The following is a 19,372-nucleotide window of genomic DNA, read 5'->3' as shown; positions in this document are numbered from 1 at the left end:
TTGGGACATGATCAAGTCATGAGGATGGAGCACTCATGGATGATATTAGTACCCCTATAAAGGAGGCCCTAGAAAACTGCCTTGCCCCATTTGCCACATGAGGATGCAGCAAGAAGGAGCTATCTAATGAGGAATGGGTCCTCACTAGCCACCAAAACTGGCAACTTCTTGATCTTGGACTTTCCAGCCTCCAGAACTTTGAGAAATACATTTCTGTGATTTAGAAACTATCCAAACATCATACTCAATGGGCAAAAGCTGGAAGCATTCCCCTTGAAAACCAGCACAAACAAGGATGCCCTCTCTCACCACTTTTATTCAATATAGTATTGGAAGTCCTGGCCAGAACATCAGGCAAGAGAAGAAAGAAAGGGCATCCAAATAGGAACAGAGGAAGTCAAACTATTCCTGTTTGCAGATATGTTTTTCTATCTAGAAAACCCCACATTCTCAGCCCAGAAGCTCCTTAAACTGATGAACAACTTCAGTAAAGTCTCAGGATACAAAATCAACGTACAAAAATCACTAGCATCCCTGTACATTATCAACAGTTAGGCCAAGAGCCAAATCAGGAATGCAATCCTATTCACAATCACTACAAAAAAAAATAACAAAATACACAGGAATACAGCTAACCAGGGAAGTGAAAGATCTCTACAATGAGAACTACAAAACACTGTTCCAAGAAATCAGAGATGACACAAACAAATGGAAAAACATTCCATGCTCATGGATGGAAAGAATCAATATCATTAAAATGGCCACATTGCCAAAAGCAATTTATAAATTCAATGCTATTCCTATCAAACTATGAATGACATTATTCATAGAATTAGAAAAAAACTATTTTAGTATTCATATGGAACCAAAAAAAGTCTGAATAGCCCAGGCAATCCTAGGCAAAAAAAAAGAAAAAAAAGCTAGAAGCATCACACTACCCAACTTCAAACTATACTACAAGACTATAGTAACCAAAATGGCATGATACTGATGCAAAACTAGACACATAGACCAATGGAACAGAATACAGAGCCCACAAATAAGGTCACATGCCTACAACCATTTGATCTTTGACAAAGCTAACAAAAACAAGCAATGGGGAATGGACGGACTCCCTATACAATAAATGGTGCTGAGATAACTGGCTAGCCATATGCAGAACAATGAAACTGGACCCCTTCCTTGTACTATATACAAAAATTAAATCAAGATGGATTAAAAATTGTAAATGTAAAACCCAAAACTACAAAACCCTGGAAGACAACCTAGGCAATATCATTCTGAGCATAGAAATGGGAAAAGATTTCACGACAAAGAGACCAAAAGCAATTTGAACAAAAGCAGAAATTGACAAAGTGGATATAATTAAACTAAAGAGCTTCTGCACAGCAAAAGAAACTATCACCAGAGTGAACAGACAACCTAAAGGATGGGAGAACATTTTTGCAAACTATGCACCTAACAAAGCCTAATATCCAGCATCTATAAGGAAATTAAAGAAATTGCAGGAAAACAAACAATTCCATTAAAAAGTGGGCAAAGGACATGAACAGATACTTTCCAAAAGAAGACATACATGCAGCCAACAAGCATATGAGAAAAAGCTCAACATCACTGATCATTAGAGAAATGCAACTCAAACCACAATGAGATACCATCTCACACCAGTCAGAATGGCAATTATTAGAAAGTCAAAAAAATAGATATTATAAAAATTGTAGAGAAAAGGGATGCTATACAGTGTTGGTGGGAGTGTAAATTCGTACAACCATTGTGGAAAGCAGTGTGGCAATTCCTCAAAGACCTAAAAAAAAAAGAACTATCACTTAACCCAGCAATCCCATTATTGAGTATATACCCAGAGAAATAAAATGTTGTATCATAAAGACACATGCGTTTATTGCAGTGCTATTTGCAATAGCAAAGACATGGAATCAACCTAAATGCCCATCAATGATAGACTGGATAAAGAAAATGTAGTACATATACACCATGGAATACTATGCAGCCATAAAAAGAACAAGATCATATCCTTTACAGGAACATGGATGGAGCTGGAGACCATTATCCTTAGCAAACTAACACAGGAACAGGAAACCAAATACTGCATATTCTCACTTATAAGTGGGAGCTAAATGATAAGAACACATGGACACAAAGAGGGGAACAACACACTGGGGCCTCCTTGAGGATGGAGGGCGGGAGGAGGGGGAGGATCAGGGAAAAATAACTAAAGGGTACAAGGCTTGATTAATACATGGGTTACAAAATAATCTGCAACCCGAGTTTACTTATATAACAAACCTGCACATGTATCCCTGAACTTAAAATAAAAGTTAAAAAAAAAGAAGAAGAAGCTACCAAGTTTATGGATGGAAACAATGGATATAGAGTTTCAGTCTTTCAGGATTAAAATGTTCTGGAGATGATCTATACTACAGGTGCATGTAGTTACTAATACTGATACGGTACACTTAAAAACTTGTTAAGAGGGTAAAAATCTTACTTGGTTGTTACTTTGTAGATTATAAATAACATTCCACTATATTAATGAAGAATAGCTTGAACTCTAACTAGGGAATATATCTAAGATGAAAACATTTGTGTATGTGTGCACATACAGATGTTCTTAGAAGTCAAGAACCTGGCCACTGGTCCCTTCTTTAATGTGAACTTCTGTGTAATTCTAACCAGGCCTTAATCATTCCTGGATCTTGATTTTCCCATCAGTACAACAAAGGAAGCAAATCTACGATAGTACCTCCAAACTGTACTGGTGAGTCTCATCCCCATCATACTTTATGGGTGTTTTGGTGGGGGAAATTTCTGAACTACTTAGACATAGTATGTTCAGACATTCGGTTCTGGTCAGAGGGCAAAGAAAAACAGGTCTTGCACCTGCTACAATCTTTCAGGAAAGCAAATTCACAATATGGAAAACGATATATTGTGAATTTGCTTTTCTATAACCCTTGACACAAATATCTATACCCCTTGACACAGTCTGTAATCTCATTCCTAGAATTCTATTCTGAGAGAACTAGTGATGTTAAAGCTTATTACCACCTTATTTGTGGTAACAAATAACTGGAAACACATTTCTTGAAATTACCAGAAGGGAACTCATTCTAATACAAACTATCTATTCAATAAGATCCTATTCAAAATATTGGCAAAATTAAGGAGGGAATGTAATCAGCTAAATCTACAATAGATATGGAAAATTAGACATCCAATAACAGCCATAAAGATTCCAAGACCGTGATATAATGGAGAACTTGCCTTACCAGATGTTAAAGAAAGATATGAACATTAAAACATGTTGACTTTGGCAAAAAAAAAAAAAAAAGAAGAAGAAGAAAAACTGGACAATGAAAGATGAGATATTCTAAAAATACAATTGAACACCCGTGGGGACAGCTCATAGGATAAAAGTGGCACTTAAATGTTATAGATGAGCCTTTTAATAAATGGTGTGGAGAAAACTGGACAACAATTAGGATTAAGGTTCTATAATTTTATCTTTGCACATCTAATAAATTTTAGAAAAAGTTAAATAAAATACTATTATTAGAAGAAACATGCCATTGAAAGTAATTTCTGGGTCAAATGGTATTTCTAGTTCTAGATCCCTGAGGAATCACAACACTGTCTTCCACAATGGTTGAACTAGTTTAGAGTCCCACCAACAGTGTAAAAGTGTTCCTATTTCTCCACATCCTCTCCAGCACCTGTTGTTTCCTGACTTTTTAATGATCACCATTCTAACTGGTGTGAGATGGTATCTCATTGTGGTTTTGATTTGCATTTCTCTGACGGCCAGTGATGATGAGCATTTTTCATGTGTCTGTTGGCTGCATAAATATCTTCTTTTGAGAAGTGTCTGTTCATATCCTTCACCTACTTGTTGATGGGATTGTTTGTTTTTTTTTCTTGTAAATTTGTTTGAGTTCTTTGTAGATTCTGGATATTAGCCCTTTGTCAGATCAGTAGTTTGCAAAAATTTTCTCCCATTCTGTAGGTTGCCTGTTCACTCTGATGGTAGTTTCTTTTGCTGTGCAGAAGCTCTTTAGTTTAATTAGATCCCATTTGTCAATTTTGGCTTTTGTTGCCATTGCTTTTGGTGTTTTAGACATGAAGTCCTTGCCCATGCCTATGTCTTGAATGGTATTGCCTAAGTTTTCTTCTAGGGTTTTTATGGTTTTAGGTCTAACATTTAAGTCTTTAATCCATCTTGAATTAATTTTTGTATAAGGTGTAAGGAAGGGATCCAGTTTCAGCTTTCTACATATGGCTAGCCAGTTTTCCCAGCACCATTTGTTAAATAGGGAATCCCTTCCCCATTTCTTGTTTTTTGTCAGGTTTGTCAAAGATCAGATAGTTGTAGATGTGTGGTATTATTTCTGAGGGCTCTGTTCTGTTCCATTGGTCTATATCTCTGTTTTGGTACCAGTACCATGCTGTTTTGGTTACTGTAGTCTTGTAGTATAGTTTGAAGTACTGGGTATGTACCCAAAGGATTATAAATCATGCTGCTATAAAGACACATGCACACGTACGTTTATTGTGGCACTATTCACAATAGCAAAGACTTGGAACCAACACAAATGACCAACAATGATAGACTGGATTAAGAAAATGTGGCACATATACACCATGGAATACTATGCAGCCATAAAAAAGGATGAGTTCATGTCCTTTGTAGGGACATGGAAGAAGCTGGAAACCATCATTCTCAGCAAACTATAGCAAGGACAAAAAACCAAAACCACATGTTCTCACTCATAGGTGGGAATTGAACAACGAGAACACTTCGACACAGGAAGGGGAACACCACACATTGGGGCCTGTCATGGGGTGGGGGGAGGGGGAAGGGATAGCATTAGGAGATATACCTAATGTAAATGACGAGTTAATGGGTGCAGCACACCAGCATGGCACATGTATACATATGTAACAAACCTGCATGTTGTGCACATGTACCCTAGAACTTAAAGTATAATAAATATACATATAAAAAAAGAAAGTAATTTCTGAGTAGGAATGACATTCCAAACCAAACACAATGCCTAGAAGCCATAAAAAAAAAAAAAACTGAAAATTTTACTAACTTTTAAAAATGTAAAATAAGTAAATAAATAAATACCACTGGCCTATTAGAAATAAAAAATTTCTTTCTAAAATATATAATAGTTATAATTTGCATAAAATATGGATAAGTAACAAAAACTTAGAAAAAATTTTAAGTAATAATCAGAAAACTCTAGACAATAAGAGTGAAGAGTTCATTGAGCAAAATAATAAAAGGCATATATAGAAAATCTAATATTTTCTGAAGGTAGTTTGTTTCGTAGATTCAACTTTGAAAACCATATAAGTGGTTCAAAATTGTGAAACAAAATTAAATTGTAATGAATATAAATGCAAGCTTTAAAAATCAAAGTAAAATTAAACAAAATTGTTTTGATTTGTTTAATTGTTAAGATGGTGTTTTGATTATCTAGAGATGAGTTATTGTGCCTTTATCAGAAACAGAAACTGTATTCCCCCAAAGGTAGAGCTAGGATTCAAACCTAAATGAGAGGAGTAAGTCACAGCCTTTTGCTTTCAACAGCAAAGTTGTCATTGGTTGTCTGTACAGATCAAGGATTCACAAGTCATCCTTTGCAAACAGAAGCCTGGAGCCTCCAATTCACAGAAAACCTCTGACCTCCTTACCCCCTGCTTCTACAGGGCCACCCTGGTTCAAAGCGCCAAGCTGCTGACAGCAACATAAGTTGCCACTGGGAGTCCTGTGTCCCCAGAGGAACCAGAGGAGTTGAGTAGCATCTAATTATTCAGTATAGATATGGACGCTAACTTGGACTTAGTACATGTATTACATGGACTCCCTCCAAATCACCATGCCAAGCCTCTGGAGGACAGAAGAATATAAATTGTTTAACTCCTCTTAATCTCAGTTTCCATCTATGTATACAGGAAATAAAAATAATTTGTACTCTGGTTCAAATCCTGATGCTCCCACATACCAGCTGTGTGTCCTTGGGCAAGTCACTTCCCTCTCTCAGCTGCATCTCTTTCTCTCAAGATTCTGAGCAGCAAGTGAGAAGATATTAGCTACAAAAACACTTGCAAAATGAGACACCAAGAGTTATGTGAAGGTTAGTGATTATAATTCATCAAAACTATTTTTATTTTATTTGGACCATTTATCTAAGCCCATTATGATATCTTGACAGTACAACTTAGTTAAAGAACATTGCTCTGGAGTCAGATGCCTGAGTCCAAACAGCAGCTCTGCTATTTACTAGCAGTATGATTTTTCACAAGTTACTTAACTTGTATATGCCTCAGTTTTCTAATTTGTAAAACTGGGATAACAACAGTATCTATGTCATAGGGTTACTGTGAGGATGAAATGAGTTAATGCACACTTTAAATATTTATTTTATTTTTTAATTGGCAAATAATAATTTTACATATGCATGGGGCTCATAATAATGTTTAGAGACATATGATGTCTAGTGATCAGATCAGGGTAAGTAGCATATCCATCCTCTCAAATATTTATCATTTCTTTGTTTTGGAAACATTCAATATCCTCCTCCTAGCTATTTGCAATTATATAATATATTATTGTTAATTAAGTTTTAAAAAAAAACAGTGCTTGGTACATAGTAAGCACTATGTACTCTTTAGAAGTAAAAAAAACTTTTTAGAATTAAAGAACTTTTTAGAATTAAAAAAAGTACATGTCCTAGTTGGGATCAGAGATATGCAGTCAAACTACCAAAGACAAAATAGATCTAGTTATTTTAATCCATCGTATGGATGGGAAGTAAGATCAGATATAGAGTACAAAAGAAATTATGTCAGTGGTGTCAGAAGCAAGAATTCAAGAGATACAAATATGAAATGAAAGAAGTTAACTAAAATCTCCATAATCTTGAATTTTAATTGAAAATATCAATGTAAATGTATAACACATTTCTCTTTTCAAGATAAAGAAAGAAAGAAGAAAAAGAAAGAAAGAAAGAGAAAGAGAAAGAAAGAAAGGAAGGAAGGAAGAGAGAGAGAAAGGAAGGGAGGAAGGAAGGAAAAAGGAGAGGAGAGGGGAGGGGAAAATAGGGAGGGAAAAGGGGAGGAAAAAAGGGAGGGAGGGAGGGGAAGGGGGAGGGAGAGGAAGGAAAGGAAAGGAAAGGAAAAAGGAAAGGGAAAAGAGGAAAGGAAAAAGTATGCCTTACTTTTTTCCACCAAAAAAGCCTAAAAACAGTGACCAACAGTAGCAATAGTGACCCTCAGCACAAAAACCGATTTCTACATATCTTTAAAAGAAATGATTACAACTCTTGGCTAGGAAATGTACAAGATTACTGTAAAACACCTTATGGTACCAGAAGATGAATACTAGTATTCAGGAATTAAATAGGAGAGTTTTCTGTCTAGTTCACGTTCTCCAGAAATCTCTGAGATGAGATGTGCATGCAGGAATATGCCAAGCAGCAGGGCATAACTTAGTGCATTCGTGTGCAATAGCTGCTATAACAAATACCACAAACTGTGTGACATCACAGAAATTTATTTATTTCCTCACAGAAATTTATTTATTTCCCCACGGCACTGGAGGATAAAAGCCCAAGATCAAGGTGTTGGTGCGGTGGCTTCTTCTGAGGTCTGTGGGGAAGGATCCTCCAGGCTTCTTTTCTTGGCATATAGATGGTCATCTTCTCCTTATGTTGCCTCCACATCATCTCCCCTCTCTGTATATATTTGTGTCCAAATTTCCCTTTATTATAAGGACATCAGTTATATTCAATTAGGCCCTACCCTAATGACCTTGTTTTGCTTAATTACATCTCTAAAGATCCTATGTCCAAATTAGTTCACTTTCCAAGAGACTCAGGGTTAGGGCTGAAACATATGAATTTTGAGAGGACACAATTTAACTCATAATACGTAGAGCTGCTTTCATGATTTTTCTTCCCCTGGGTCTCACGAAAGCCTAGAAGACTTATGCAGCAATATATAGCTTGTATGAGTATTCTCAAGTGCAGAATACACTGCCTGCAAACTTAAAGAAAAACTTAAACCCAGTACTTCTCTCTTTTTCAATGGAAGTAGGATAAAACTACAATAATTTGTCCATAGCTTTGGAGACTATGTTCTGATATAACTTAGACCACTGCACCTCTAAATATTCAACAATGTGACAGACTCTGAATCTTTATTTCCTTACCATTGGAGCCCATATATTTACCAAGACATTCAGAGGGCTTATCATGTTTTGTCCACGGGGTCCGATAGTGAAGCAATATTGTGTTCTGCATGTTGTCCACCTTGCCATGACCTCCTTGGAGAGTGAATTAATGTTATCTTTATGGCAGAGTGAATTAATTTGACTCTGAGGCAAGACTGAACGTATACTGCTGTAGATCCCAGGTGAATGCAAACTGCTTCTGACTCTCCTTCCGGTTAGGTAACGAAAAGATCACACTAGCTAGATCAGTAGCCACTTACAAGGTACATGAAGCTTTGTTCATCTGTTCTAGTCAGGAAAGCGCATCCAACACAGTGATGAACATAGGGCCAATACTTGATTAAATTTACAATGATTTATTGACATTCCCCATAATCTGTTTTAGTAGAGGCTAGACTGGTGAATTAAATGGGGATGAACTATGACCCCTGTATCTTTTAAGACTTTGTGGTACTAATATCTGCCATTAGCCTGGGATGTAAAGATGATCATCTTAGCGGGGTGGAGGGAAGTGTTTCAGGGGCTTTTTATGGCCTTTATTATTAAAATAGCTCTTATTCCACAGGTCAAGCTTTTGTTCCACATGAGGATGTGTCCATCTGTTAATTATATTATTTAAAATTATACATCTGTGAATATAACCAATGGATTAGCAGCCACACTGTGAGGTAGACTGGGACAATACTCTATTTGTTAACAGAACTTCATACACTCCTACTCCATGTACAAGCGATGTTGGTACTTTACGTACCCAGGAATCAATGTCAATTCAGATCATCCAGGAAACAAACCAAAGGACTTAGGTATTTCCTCTTGCCTTATGTATGGTCAGATGAATGGCTCTAATTCTCTTCAGAGAGAGAATGAAGGAATCGCAGCTGTAACATCTGCCAAAGAGTTGCAGAGTCTTTCCCATTAGAACTAGACTCTCGTATAATCCAAAGATTGTGGCTCTGAAAAACAGCTCAGATGTTGAATCTGGGCAAAGGATTATGACCATCTATTGGGTAACAGAATTCAGCTTCTGCTTATTTATTATTTCCCAAAGTTTCAGTGTAAAAATATTCAAATATTCAAAAAAGCTGAAAGAATTTTATAGTGACCAAATGTATATTCACCATCTAGATTCAAATTTACAGTGGACATGTGCACTACTAGTTCCCTAGGGCTGCTGTAACAAAAGTCCACAATCTGGGCAGTGTAAAACAGCAGAAATTTATCTCTCTTATTTCTGGGGGCTAAAAGTTCAGAATCCAGGTGTTGGCAGGGTTGGTTCCTTCTGAAATTCTGAGGAAGAATTTGTTGCATGCCTTTTTCCCAGCTTATGCTGGCTGCTGGATACCCTTGGCATTTCCTGGTTTATAGACACATCACCCCAATTTCTACCTCGTCCTCACATGGCATTCCTCCCTGTGATCTGTGTTTACCTTTCCCTCTTCAAGGATGCCAACCATTGGATTTGGGGCCACACTAATCCATTGTAACATCATTTTAACTTGATTACATCTGCAAAGATGTTGTTTTCAAAAAAGATCACATTCACAGTTTCCAGGTAGGCATGAATTTGGGGGGAACACTATTCACTTCAGTACAGTACAATATGCATATTCAACCATTAATTCAAATATTAACATCTTACTGTATTTGTTTATAAAATAACTATCCATGTATTCATCTCTGTATCCATACATTAATCCACTTTACTGTTAGTGCCTTTTAAAATAAAGATGTCAGTATACTTCTCCCTATATACTTCAACACACATATCATTAACAGGAGTTCATGTGCTTATACTTATATTTTCTTCCGCTGAAAAATATACACATGATTAAATTCACAAATTTCATAGTATAGATTGATACAGACATAAATATAACCCAAATCCCTATTAACATAAAGGGCATTACTAATTACTATCACCCCAGAAGGTTTATTCATGCACCTTTATGTATCTTTTTTGTACACAAATGCTTATAATGCCTATATTCATAATAGTCAAATATTGGAAACCATCCAATCTACATCAGTGGGTGAATAGATAAATTGTGGTACAAAGATACAATGAACACTACTCAGCAATAAAAAGAAAAAAACTGGCTGGGCATGGTGGCTCACACCTGTAATCCCAGCACTTTGAAAGGCCAAAGCGGGTGGATCACTTAAGGTCAGGAGTTTGAGACCAGCCTGGCCAACTTGGTGAAACTCTCTCTCTACTAAAAATACAAAATTAGCCAGGGCTGGTGGCACAAGTCAGTCACTGTCTCTATATCCCAGTGGCAACTACTATACTGTTTTTTCTACCATTAATTTGTTCTGCCTGTTTGAGAATTTCATACAAATGTATCCTTATTTTAAACAGTTTATCACGTAGAAAGTAAAGAGTTTGAACTATTTATCTCTTAATTCTATCAATTCTTGCTTCCTGTATTATGAAGCTCTGTTACTAGGTACATACACATTTATGATTGTTATGTCTTTCTGACAAATTGATCTTTCTAACTTTATGAAATGCCTTTCTTTATTACCGGTGATGTTCTTTGTCTTGAATCAATTTTGTCTGATATTACTATAGTCACTCCAGCTTTCTTAAACTACGTACATAGCATATCTTTCTTTATCCATTACTTTTAATATATGTGTCTTTGTAGCTAAATTATTTATTTTATAGACAATGTAAAATTGGGTTTTGCTTTTTTTATCCATTCAGAAAATATTTACTTTTATTTGAAATGTTTTGTCCATTAACATTTATTGTAATTATCAATGTGATTGGACTTAGGTGTACATTTTTATTATTTTTGTTTTTTTCTTCATCTCCTGTTTTCTTTTGTTTTGATTAGTGTTGTGGTTATCCTCTTCTCCCTTTTCTAACTTTTTAAACATTTATATAATTATTTTTAGAATTCCATTTAATTTATTTATTGGGATTTTAGATATATCCTATTATATTTTAAGTGGTTGATCTAGTTATTGCCATATATATCTTTATCTTTTCTACAGATGTCTTATAATTAATACTATACTAATTCATGTAAAATACATTTTATGTATAGTTCATGAATATTTCATGAATATATAAAATATTTTACTTCATGTAAAATATAGAAAATTTCTAATCATATGAATGCATTTAGCCCCATCTTTTATGCTCTAGTTCACATATGCATTATATCTATACATTTACAAAGCCCACAAGAAAGTACTATAATTTTTGTTTTAAGTGGTCATATATACTTTTTTTAACTAGAAGAAAAAAGGTCTATTTATTGAGTCAGGTATTTACTTTTTCTGATGCTCTTCATTATTTCCTATAGATATGAGTTTCATCTGATATGATTTCCTTTGAGTATGAGAAACTTCCTTTAACATTTCTTAGAATGCAAGTCTGCTGACAAAAAAATTCTCTTAGTTTTATCTAAAAATGTCTTTATTTCACGTTTATTCTTGAAGGAGACTTGCACTGGATAAAAAGCAATGGCTTTTTTTTTTTTACTTTCAACACTTGAAAATGTAGTTTCACAGTCTTTTGACCTCCATGGTTTCTGATGAATTATTCAAATTATTCTTTCCCTTTATAAAATATTTTATTTTTGTGTAGCTGCTTCAAGGCTTTTCACTTTGTCTTTAATTTGTAGCCGTTTGATTTGCCTAAATGTGGTTTCCTCCACAACTTACTCACTTGAAGTACACTGAGCTTCCCGGATCTGTATTTGTATTTATCTCTAAATTTGCAAAACTTTCAGCCATACTTTTTTTTGACGAAGTGATTTAACTATCATTGCAAATTTTTATTTAAATTAATGATAAATCTCAGAATTTGATTGCCTGTATTCTGCCCTAAGGGTTTCTGAAGTATTGGTCAAATGGTTTGGGTACCACATCTGCATCTGAATCACCAGTAGTGCTGATCGTTATTTTTTGTTGTATTCAAATTGTTGTTTGTTTGATTAGGTATTGGAGGAAACATTATTAGGACATTTGGCTTTCCGTTTGCATTTTATTTGAAAATCTCCCTCTGAGATACATTTCATGAAAAAAAAAGGCCAAAACTATCTGAAAGGTACATGCATCTATGTAAAAACAAAAATGATATATTTATAAGTATACGTTTGTACAGAGTACAGTTACCATTTATAATATGTACACATTTTTCCTCTATAAACATATAGTAGAACCTGTATAGTTATTGACTGAGGAGAGATAGTAGGTCCAGAGTGTAGAAGTAATTAGCTTTTCATTTGTAGCTTTTTATACTACCTATTTATTTATTATCATGTGAAGTGTTATTTTCGTAATAAAAGTAATTAAAAACAAAGAAGCCCCTTACACACACACACACACACACACACACACACAAGCAAGGATACCAGGTGCTCTATTCTGCTAAACAGACTCTGACTACATGCATTTTTCTAAGCCCATGAGCTGGGAAATGTAAGAAGGTGGATGAATACCAACAGATTCAGAAAGCTGAAACAATGCTTCTCATCTGGAAAATAAGGTTTGAAGGGCTGACAAAACGAGAAATCTTGCTGCTTCTTTTAGCAAGCATCAAGATACTGAGCAATTATGAAGTTCCCGTGTATACTTCCAAAGCATCTTTGATTCCCATCAAAGGATTACTGATGGACTCTCACTCTTCTCAAGTAAAATACTCTACAAGATAGAAATCTTAGCTTGGCACGGTGGCTCGCACCTGTAATCCCAGCACTTTGAGAGGCCAAGGCGAGGGAATCACTTGAGGTCAGGAGTGCAAGATCAGCCTAGCCAACATGGCAAAACCCCATCTCTACTAACAATACAAAAATTAGCCTGGTATGGTGGCTTATGACTGTAATCCCAGCTACTCAGGAGGCTGAGGTGGTAGAATTGCTGGAACCTGGGAGGCGGAGGTTGCAGTGAGCCGAGATCACACCACTGCACTCCAGCCTGGGCGACAGAGCAAGACTCTGTTTCAAAAACAAAAATATAAAACTAGCAAACAAAAAACAAGATACAAATCTTTGCTCCCCATATCTGACTTGCTGTGAGATATCTGTGATATGAAAGAACCAAAATGCATTATGGTTCCTCAAAGCACAGGCAAGTGTTCAAACCAAACCAAACAAAATTCACTGGAATTTGAGGTTTCCTGAGATCAAAAGCTCCAGGCCTCTTGAAGAAACCCTGTCTAAAACTTCTACAGGCTTGAAATATCTTTTTTTTTTTTCAGTTTTGAATAGACACAGGTCTGGATTCAAATCCCAACTGTATTACCTACAAGTATTGTTCTATGACAAATTATATCACTTTTCTATATCTTGGTTTCGTTATCTATTAAAAAGCAGAAATATAGTAATCACTTGACATATTTGCAGTGAGAATAAAAATAGAAAGCTGGCATAATTACTGTCGTAGAATAAACTAACAATAAAAGTCAATAGTTATCATGTTAATATTAATTTTAGAAATCTTTTTCCAAAGGAAAAATACCTAAGCCTCAGATGGATAGACGTGTCACATTTTCTTTCAGATCTGGAATACGGCTGGTCAGTTGGTTTCATTTTGAGTTTGTCAACTCTCCTACTTCATTCATAGTTGAATGAAATGTATCAGAGGACTGGTGGCTTGTATATCAGGTGCACCCATTGGAAAAGGCCCGAGTCTTGTTGATCATTATTGCTAAATCTGATATTCAGTGCTTCAGCAGTTATCATTGAGGCCATTATGCTTACTTTTAGTTTAGTCAACTAATGTCTTCTAGCTTTGTGAACCACACATCCTGGACAGGCCAAATTGCAGTATTTGGTTCCACTGTCTATATGAGTAAACTCCTACTTGCCAAGTCATAAAACAAAAATAGAGACATTGTACCAATAGCCTAATATTATGGAGAAAGGCAATTATAATTTATTGAATACTAAGTCAATTGTTGAATATAATTTATTGTGCCAGTACATTTTACATGTGTCATCTCATTTAATCTTTGTAACATTGCTTTAAGGCACAAATTAGAGTCTATATTGTAAAGGGGAGGCAACCAATGTTGAGAATGTATACGTTTACTGCCACACAGATGGTTAGTGTCAGGACTGAGATTCAAACCCAATTTTACATGGTGGCCTTATTTTTTATTCTTTCTGCATGTGTGCATAGGAGGATATTAACTTGTGAAATAAAAAGATGCACACAATATTCAGTTTACTTCCTTGGGTTTGGCAAGCACTTGAGTCGTCATAGTCCCAGTTGTTTCATGTCACTTTCTGTGGATTTCTGTGTCAATCAATAAGATGTCTTTGCATACTGCAAAATTGGAGGCCTTTAATGATTAGCTTTGGTATTACCGATGCTCAAAATATAATAATAGCAAAAATCACATTAATTAGACCATTTGCAAAAGAATGTGATTATCCAGATCTTCTAGAAATGTAATTGTGGAAGCAGATGCCACATAGATAATGATAAACAGTGCCTTTGCTTACCAGCAATTATTTTTTTCTCCCTGAAGCATGCTGATTAGCCAAAGACACTCAGAGTCTGGCTCCAACAGAGAGGGCTGGGTCTCCAGCCAAGTTTCATGGCAACTCTGTAAAAAACAATATGTCCCAGAGACCAGATTCCTAGCCTGCAGGCATCATTATATCACATCTCCCAGCCCTGTGCACTGGCGACTCCTCACAGTCTCAGAGCTTGGAAGAAACTCAGTTGGAATCGAAAAGAAATTCTGGCTTTGTTAAACTACTACTTCAAATAAGTGAGCAAGCCTGTATGAGAACTGTATTGCTAGGTAGCCAAGGAATTTCCACGACTCTATCACAATTGGTAAGTACTAGAAAAGAATGAACAAAGTTGTCCTTTCAAAGTTCAGCATAGGCAGCTCACAGTCAGAACTCAGTGTTCCTATAGATAACCTTTTGCAAGTTACTTACCCTTTCTCACTTAGATGTCATCTTTGGAAAAACGACGTAACAGTAGCCAGTGAATGCAGTTGCTTTGAAAGTTTATTATTAATATGTGAGCAAGTGTTGGGCTACATATACAGACATGTTCAAATTGAGTTAGTCTGGGTCATTTTTGAGTAAAATAATTTTTTAATAGGGATGATAGATTCCCTCTTTAAATCACTTCCCAGTTTCTGGAAGATGTAGAAACTCAATTAGACCTCCAAGGCTTTGACTAATTTTGAAAGTTCCACATTTACACCACCATGCCTTGACTGTTTCTTCTTCCTGCCTTTTCCCATATGTCTGTTGAATTTCATTCACCCATATGGCACACATTTATACAGTGCTTCACATGTTTCAGCTACTGTGGTAGGCATTACTTTCATGCTTTCTCTTAAGGTCACCTATCTGAAATGCAGACAGCCATGCTGCATTCTGGGACTCAGTGAATGTCTTCAGAAATATGCCCTATTATTATACGAGGTGCCTTCTACACTGATGAGGTCATTTAACTAAAAATGTTTCCTTACAGAACCATGTTTTAAATTTTACAGAAACAAAGACAAAGATTCTAAATCATTTGCTTAAACTGCCATACCCAACTGGGCCAAAATTAGGACAAAATTCCACTTTTCCTAACTCTAATTTTTGATGTTCATTGAATGTATGAGAAGCACAAGAAATTCATTTACTATTTTGTCCATGTGAAATTGTGTGCTTGTGAAGAGGTTAATGGGGACTGTCTGTGTCACCATTTGTCTTCTTTTACTCTGTAACAATCAACTAGAAAACAGTAACCTTCTTAAAGCACTTACACCATCCTCTAAAAGAAATGAATCAAAAGATTGAATTTCCCCAATCTTTTCATATTGTATCAAGCCATCACAAATGATACGTGTAAATAGAATTCCAATATTAGAGCTCCACAATGTCTCCTCATCTGAACATTCTTCTAAAGCAGATTTCCCTTAATATGAGATTTAAGTCTCCCACAGACATTTTACTTACAGCCAAAACGTTAAACTCTGATCAGATTGTACCATTTGTCAGTTGTTTCCAAGAGGCTGATCACATTTTAAAGGGGATGTCTGTGTACTGTTAGGGATTAAAATTAAGATCTGATTTAATAAGCATAAGTTCATTTGCCAGTCACCTCCAGTTCTTCTGTGTCCATCCCTAAATCCAACTTCTGAAGTCCAGACCCACATTTCAGAAGACTGATAGATAGCACACCCAAGATGTTCCATTGTACAAAACTGAAAGAGTCATCTTTTCTTAAAAAATTCAGAAATTCCTCCTCACTTTTTCCTCCAACCATGGAAAATTCCCAGTGGTTCAAGTTCAAAATCATAATGTTCTCTTTGCATGTAGGTGTCAATCTATCTTCAAACCTGATCATTTTTACTTTTGTAGTCTTTTCTCACTTGATTCCCCTTGGGTCCTCTATAATACTTCTTATCAAGTTTAAAGTGCTGTGGTCTAGTTTGGCAAAGCGCTTTTTATATGGAGTCTCATCCTTCTGTTTCTCTTTTTTCTAATCCAATTTATATATTAAAGAAGATTAATCTTTTTAAAGTACTGCTTTGATCCTTTCTCTGTCAAAAACACTTAGTGTCTTCCAGGTGTCTATGAAATAAATTCCACAGGCCAAGGGAACCACTAAAGCTGACAATAATCAGTCACCAAATTACATTTTCAATCTTTTTATGTCTTATGGGCTGATTCCCAAAAATTTGTATGTTGAAGTCTCACCTCCAGCCCCTCAGAATGTAACCATGTTTGCAGGTAAGGTCATACAGAAGTGATCCATGAAAATGAGGCTGCTAGAAGGGGAAGAGGCCACCGGGATGTTGACCACATGAACAGGCAGCAAGAGGATGGCAATCTGCAAGCCAAGGAGAGAGGCCTCAGGAAAACCCAACCCTGACAGCACTTTGATTTGGGGGTTTTGTTTAATCTTTTTTTAAAGTTCTGGGGTACATGTGTAGGATGAGCAGCGTTGTTACATAGGTAAACGTGTGCCATGGTGGTTTGTTGCACAGATCAACACGTCACCTAGGTATTGAGCCCAACATGCATTAGTTATTTTTCTTAATGTTCTCCCTCCCCACACCCCACCCCTTGGCAGGCCCCAGAGTGTGTCCTTCCCCTCCCTGTGTCCATGTGTTCTTATTGTTCAGCTCCTATTTATAAGTGAGAACATGCAGGACTTGGTTTCCTGTTCCTGCATTAGTTTGCTGAGAAGACATGGAATCAACCCAAACACCCATCAGTGATAGATTGGATAAAGAAAATATGGTACACATACACCATGGAATACTATGCAGCCATAAAAAGGAATGAGATCATGTCCTTTGCAGGGACATGGATGGAGCTGGAAGCCATTATCCCCAGCACTTTGATTTTGAACTTCCAGTTATTTAAGCCACTCAGTATTTGCTATTTTATTATAGCCCTTGCAAATTAGTATCTATCCAAACCTAATTCCTTGTCAATTCTCCCACATCCACCAAATGTTTTCACATGTCTATGGTGTTCCCTGTGGGATGTAGTGTTTTCCTATATCATGTCTTTTACTCATATTCATCTTTCCAGATCCATATTTAAGAGAATGTGTCCCAAACCAGTAATCCCAGCCCCCACATACTTCCCACCCCAGGCTGAAAATAATCTCATCCAAATCAGAACTCCAAAGGCCCCTTTTTAGTTACTCGGTGGATTATTTGTTAATAGAATTGCTCTTTATTGTATGCATTATCTCCTTGCTCTGTCAGGTCCTTGAATGTAAGAAGCATGAATCACTTTTTTAGCACTCCCCACCTCCCACCCCACCCAGCACATTGCCCAGACCATGAACCTACTCAAATGATAAATAACTAATTGATACTAATAACAAATGATAATAGCTGACATATAATAATAACTCACTTTATGTAGACACAGAATCATTCCATTGAATCATCACAGACACTTTTTGAAATAGGTGCTATTATTATTTCCATTTTACAGATTAGAAAACTGAATATCAGGGAGATTAAGTATTTGACTGTAAGTATGAGCATTAAGTACGTGGCAATGAAAATATACTTTCTCTGTTCCAACTCACTGCCTTGCTGTGAAAGCAGACTTTAAAACCTAGCCATCTAAAATCCCTGTCAGAATAGCAGGGTAACAATTAAAAAAAAAAATCCCCCAGAGAGTTGCCTTCAAATCATAGAATTACTTCTTCTCCCAAGGCAACAAGGACAGAGAATATGTTCTTTTGTCAAATGCCACTCTGTTACCTGTGGATAGCACACCCACCCAGGATGAAAGCAGCAGTCTTTTCCATCATTTTATTTCACTTCTCACAATGGACAGCTTCTCTTGAATTTGTGTGAAAGCTCCACATATAAGCCTATGTTTCCCATACCAAGAGATAAATAACAAGAGGTGCAGATAGCTATTATGTGGCATCTTCAATCCCAGGCTTGTCTAAAAACTACCTCACAGGAGTTGACTCTCCCACTAGGCTGGGTTTTCTCAAAAGAGTAAAGAATTCAGATATTTTAAAACAACTCTTACTTCTCAAAAGTAATCTAAGTGGCTTTTTGTAACCTTATTCTACAGGAGTTTCTTTCAAATGACATGATCTTATGATAACACTCGGAATTTTCCAACAAGGATTTAAAAAGAAATGGCAAAGACTGCTTGACCCTCACAAAGAGAATAAGTCAAATGTAGATTGTGTGCATATCGTGGCTGTTAATGAAAATTTCTTCCCATTAAATTTATAAAATGGTTCCATTATCTTTGGCATCTTTAAGTCTCTAAAAGACAGTTATGTATAAAAAGAGGATTTAGAGACAGAGCTTTTACAATAGACTTATCAGTAATTAGATAAAATGTATACATTACTATGTGTTTTATCTCATCATTCTAAAACTTATTTTTAAAAGCACATAAAGGAGGAATAGACTGGGTTCTCTTCAGTGTGGCCTGCAACCGTAGGAAAGTTCAGGAGAAAGCCACTTATCCATTCATTCAAATATTTAGTGAGTGTGTGCCTACTTGCAGCTAAGAATGGAAAAAAGAAAGCACAGTTCCTGTCCTGAAAGAGGTTTACACAAATGAAAAGGACAGACATAAAAGTGCAACATTGTGAATGTCTCTCATAATGGTTGACAATACTAGGGGAGCTGAGTGTTTCCAC

General features: G+C 36.1%; 1 long non-coding RNA gene across 1 annotated transcript in view; it reads left to right on the top strand.

The window, feature by feature from the left end:
* Positions 1-5,955: 5,955 nt before the first annotated feature.
* Positions 5,956-19,372, top strand: part of LOC105371298 (uncharacterized) — a 29,410-nt gene continuing 15,993 nt past the window's right edge. Inside the window, exon 1 of the long non-coding RNA XR_001752331.2 lies at positions 5,956-6,161. This is a non-coding gene — a long non-coding RNA (uncharacterized LOC105371298). The remainder of the gene's footprint in view (positions 6,162-19,372) is intronic.

This window comes from Homo sapiens, chromosome 16, assembly GCF_000001405.40.
Source record: "Homo sapiens chromosome 16, GRCh38.p14 Primary Assembly".
Lineage (NCBI taxonomy): Eukaryota > Metazoa > Chordata > Mammalia > Primates > Hominidae > Homo > Homo sapiens.
The sequence above is the reverse complement of the archived record's forward strand: the minus strand, read 5'-3'. Positions and strand labels throughout refer to the sequence as shown.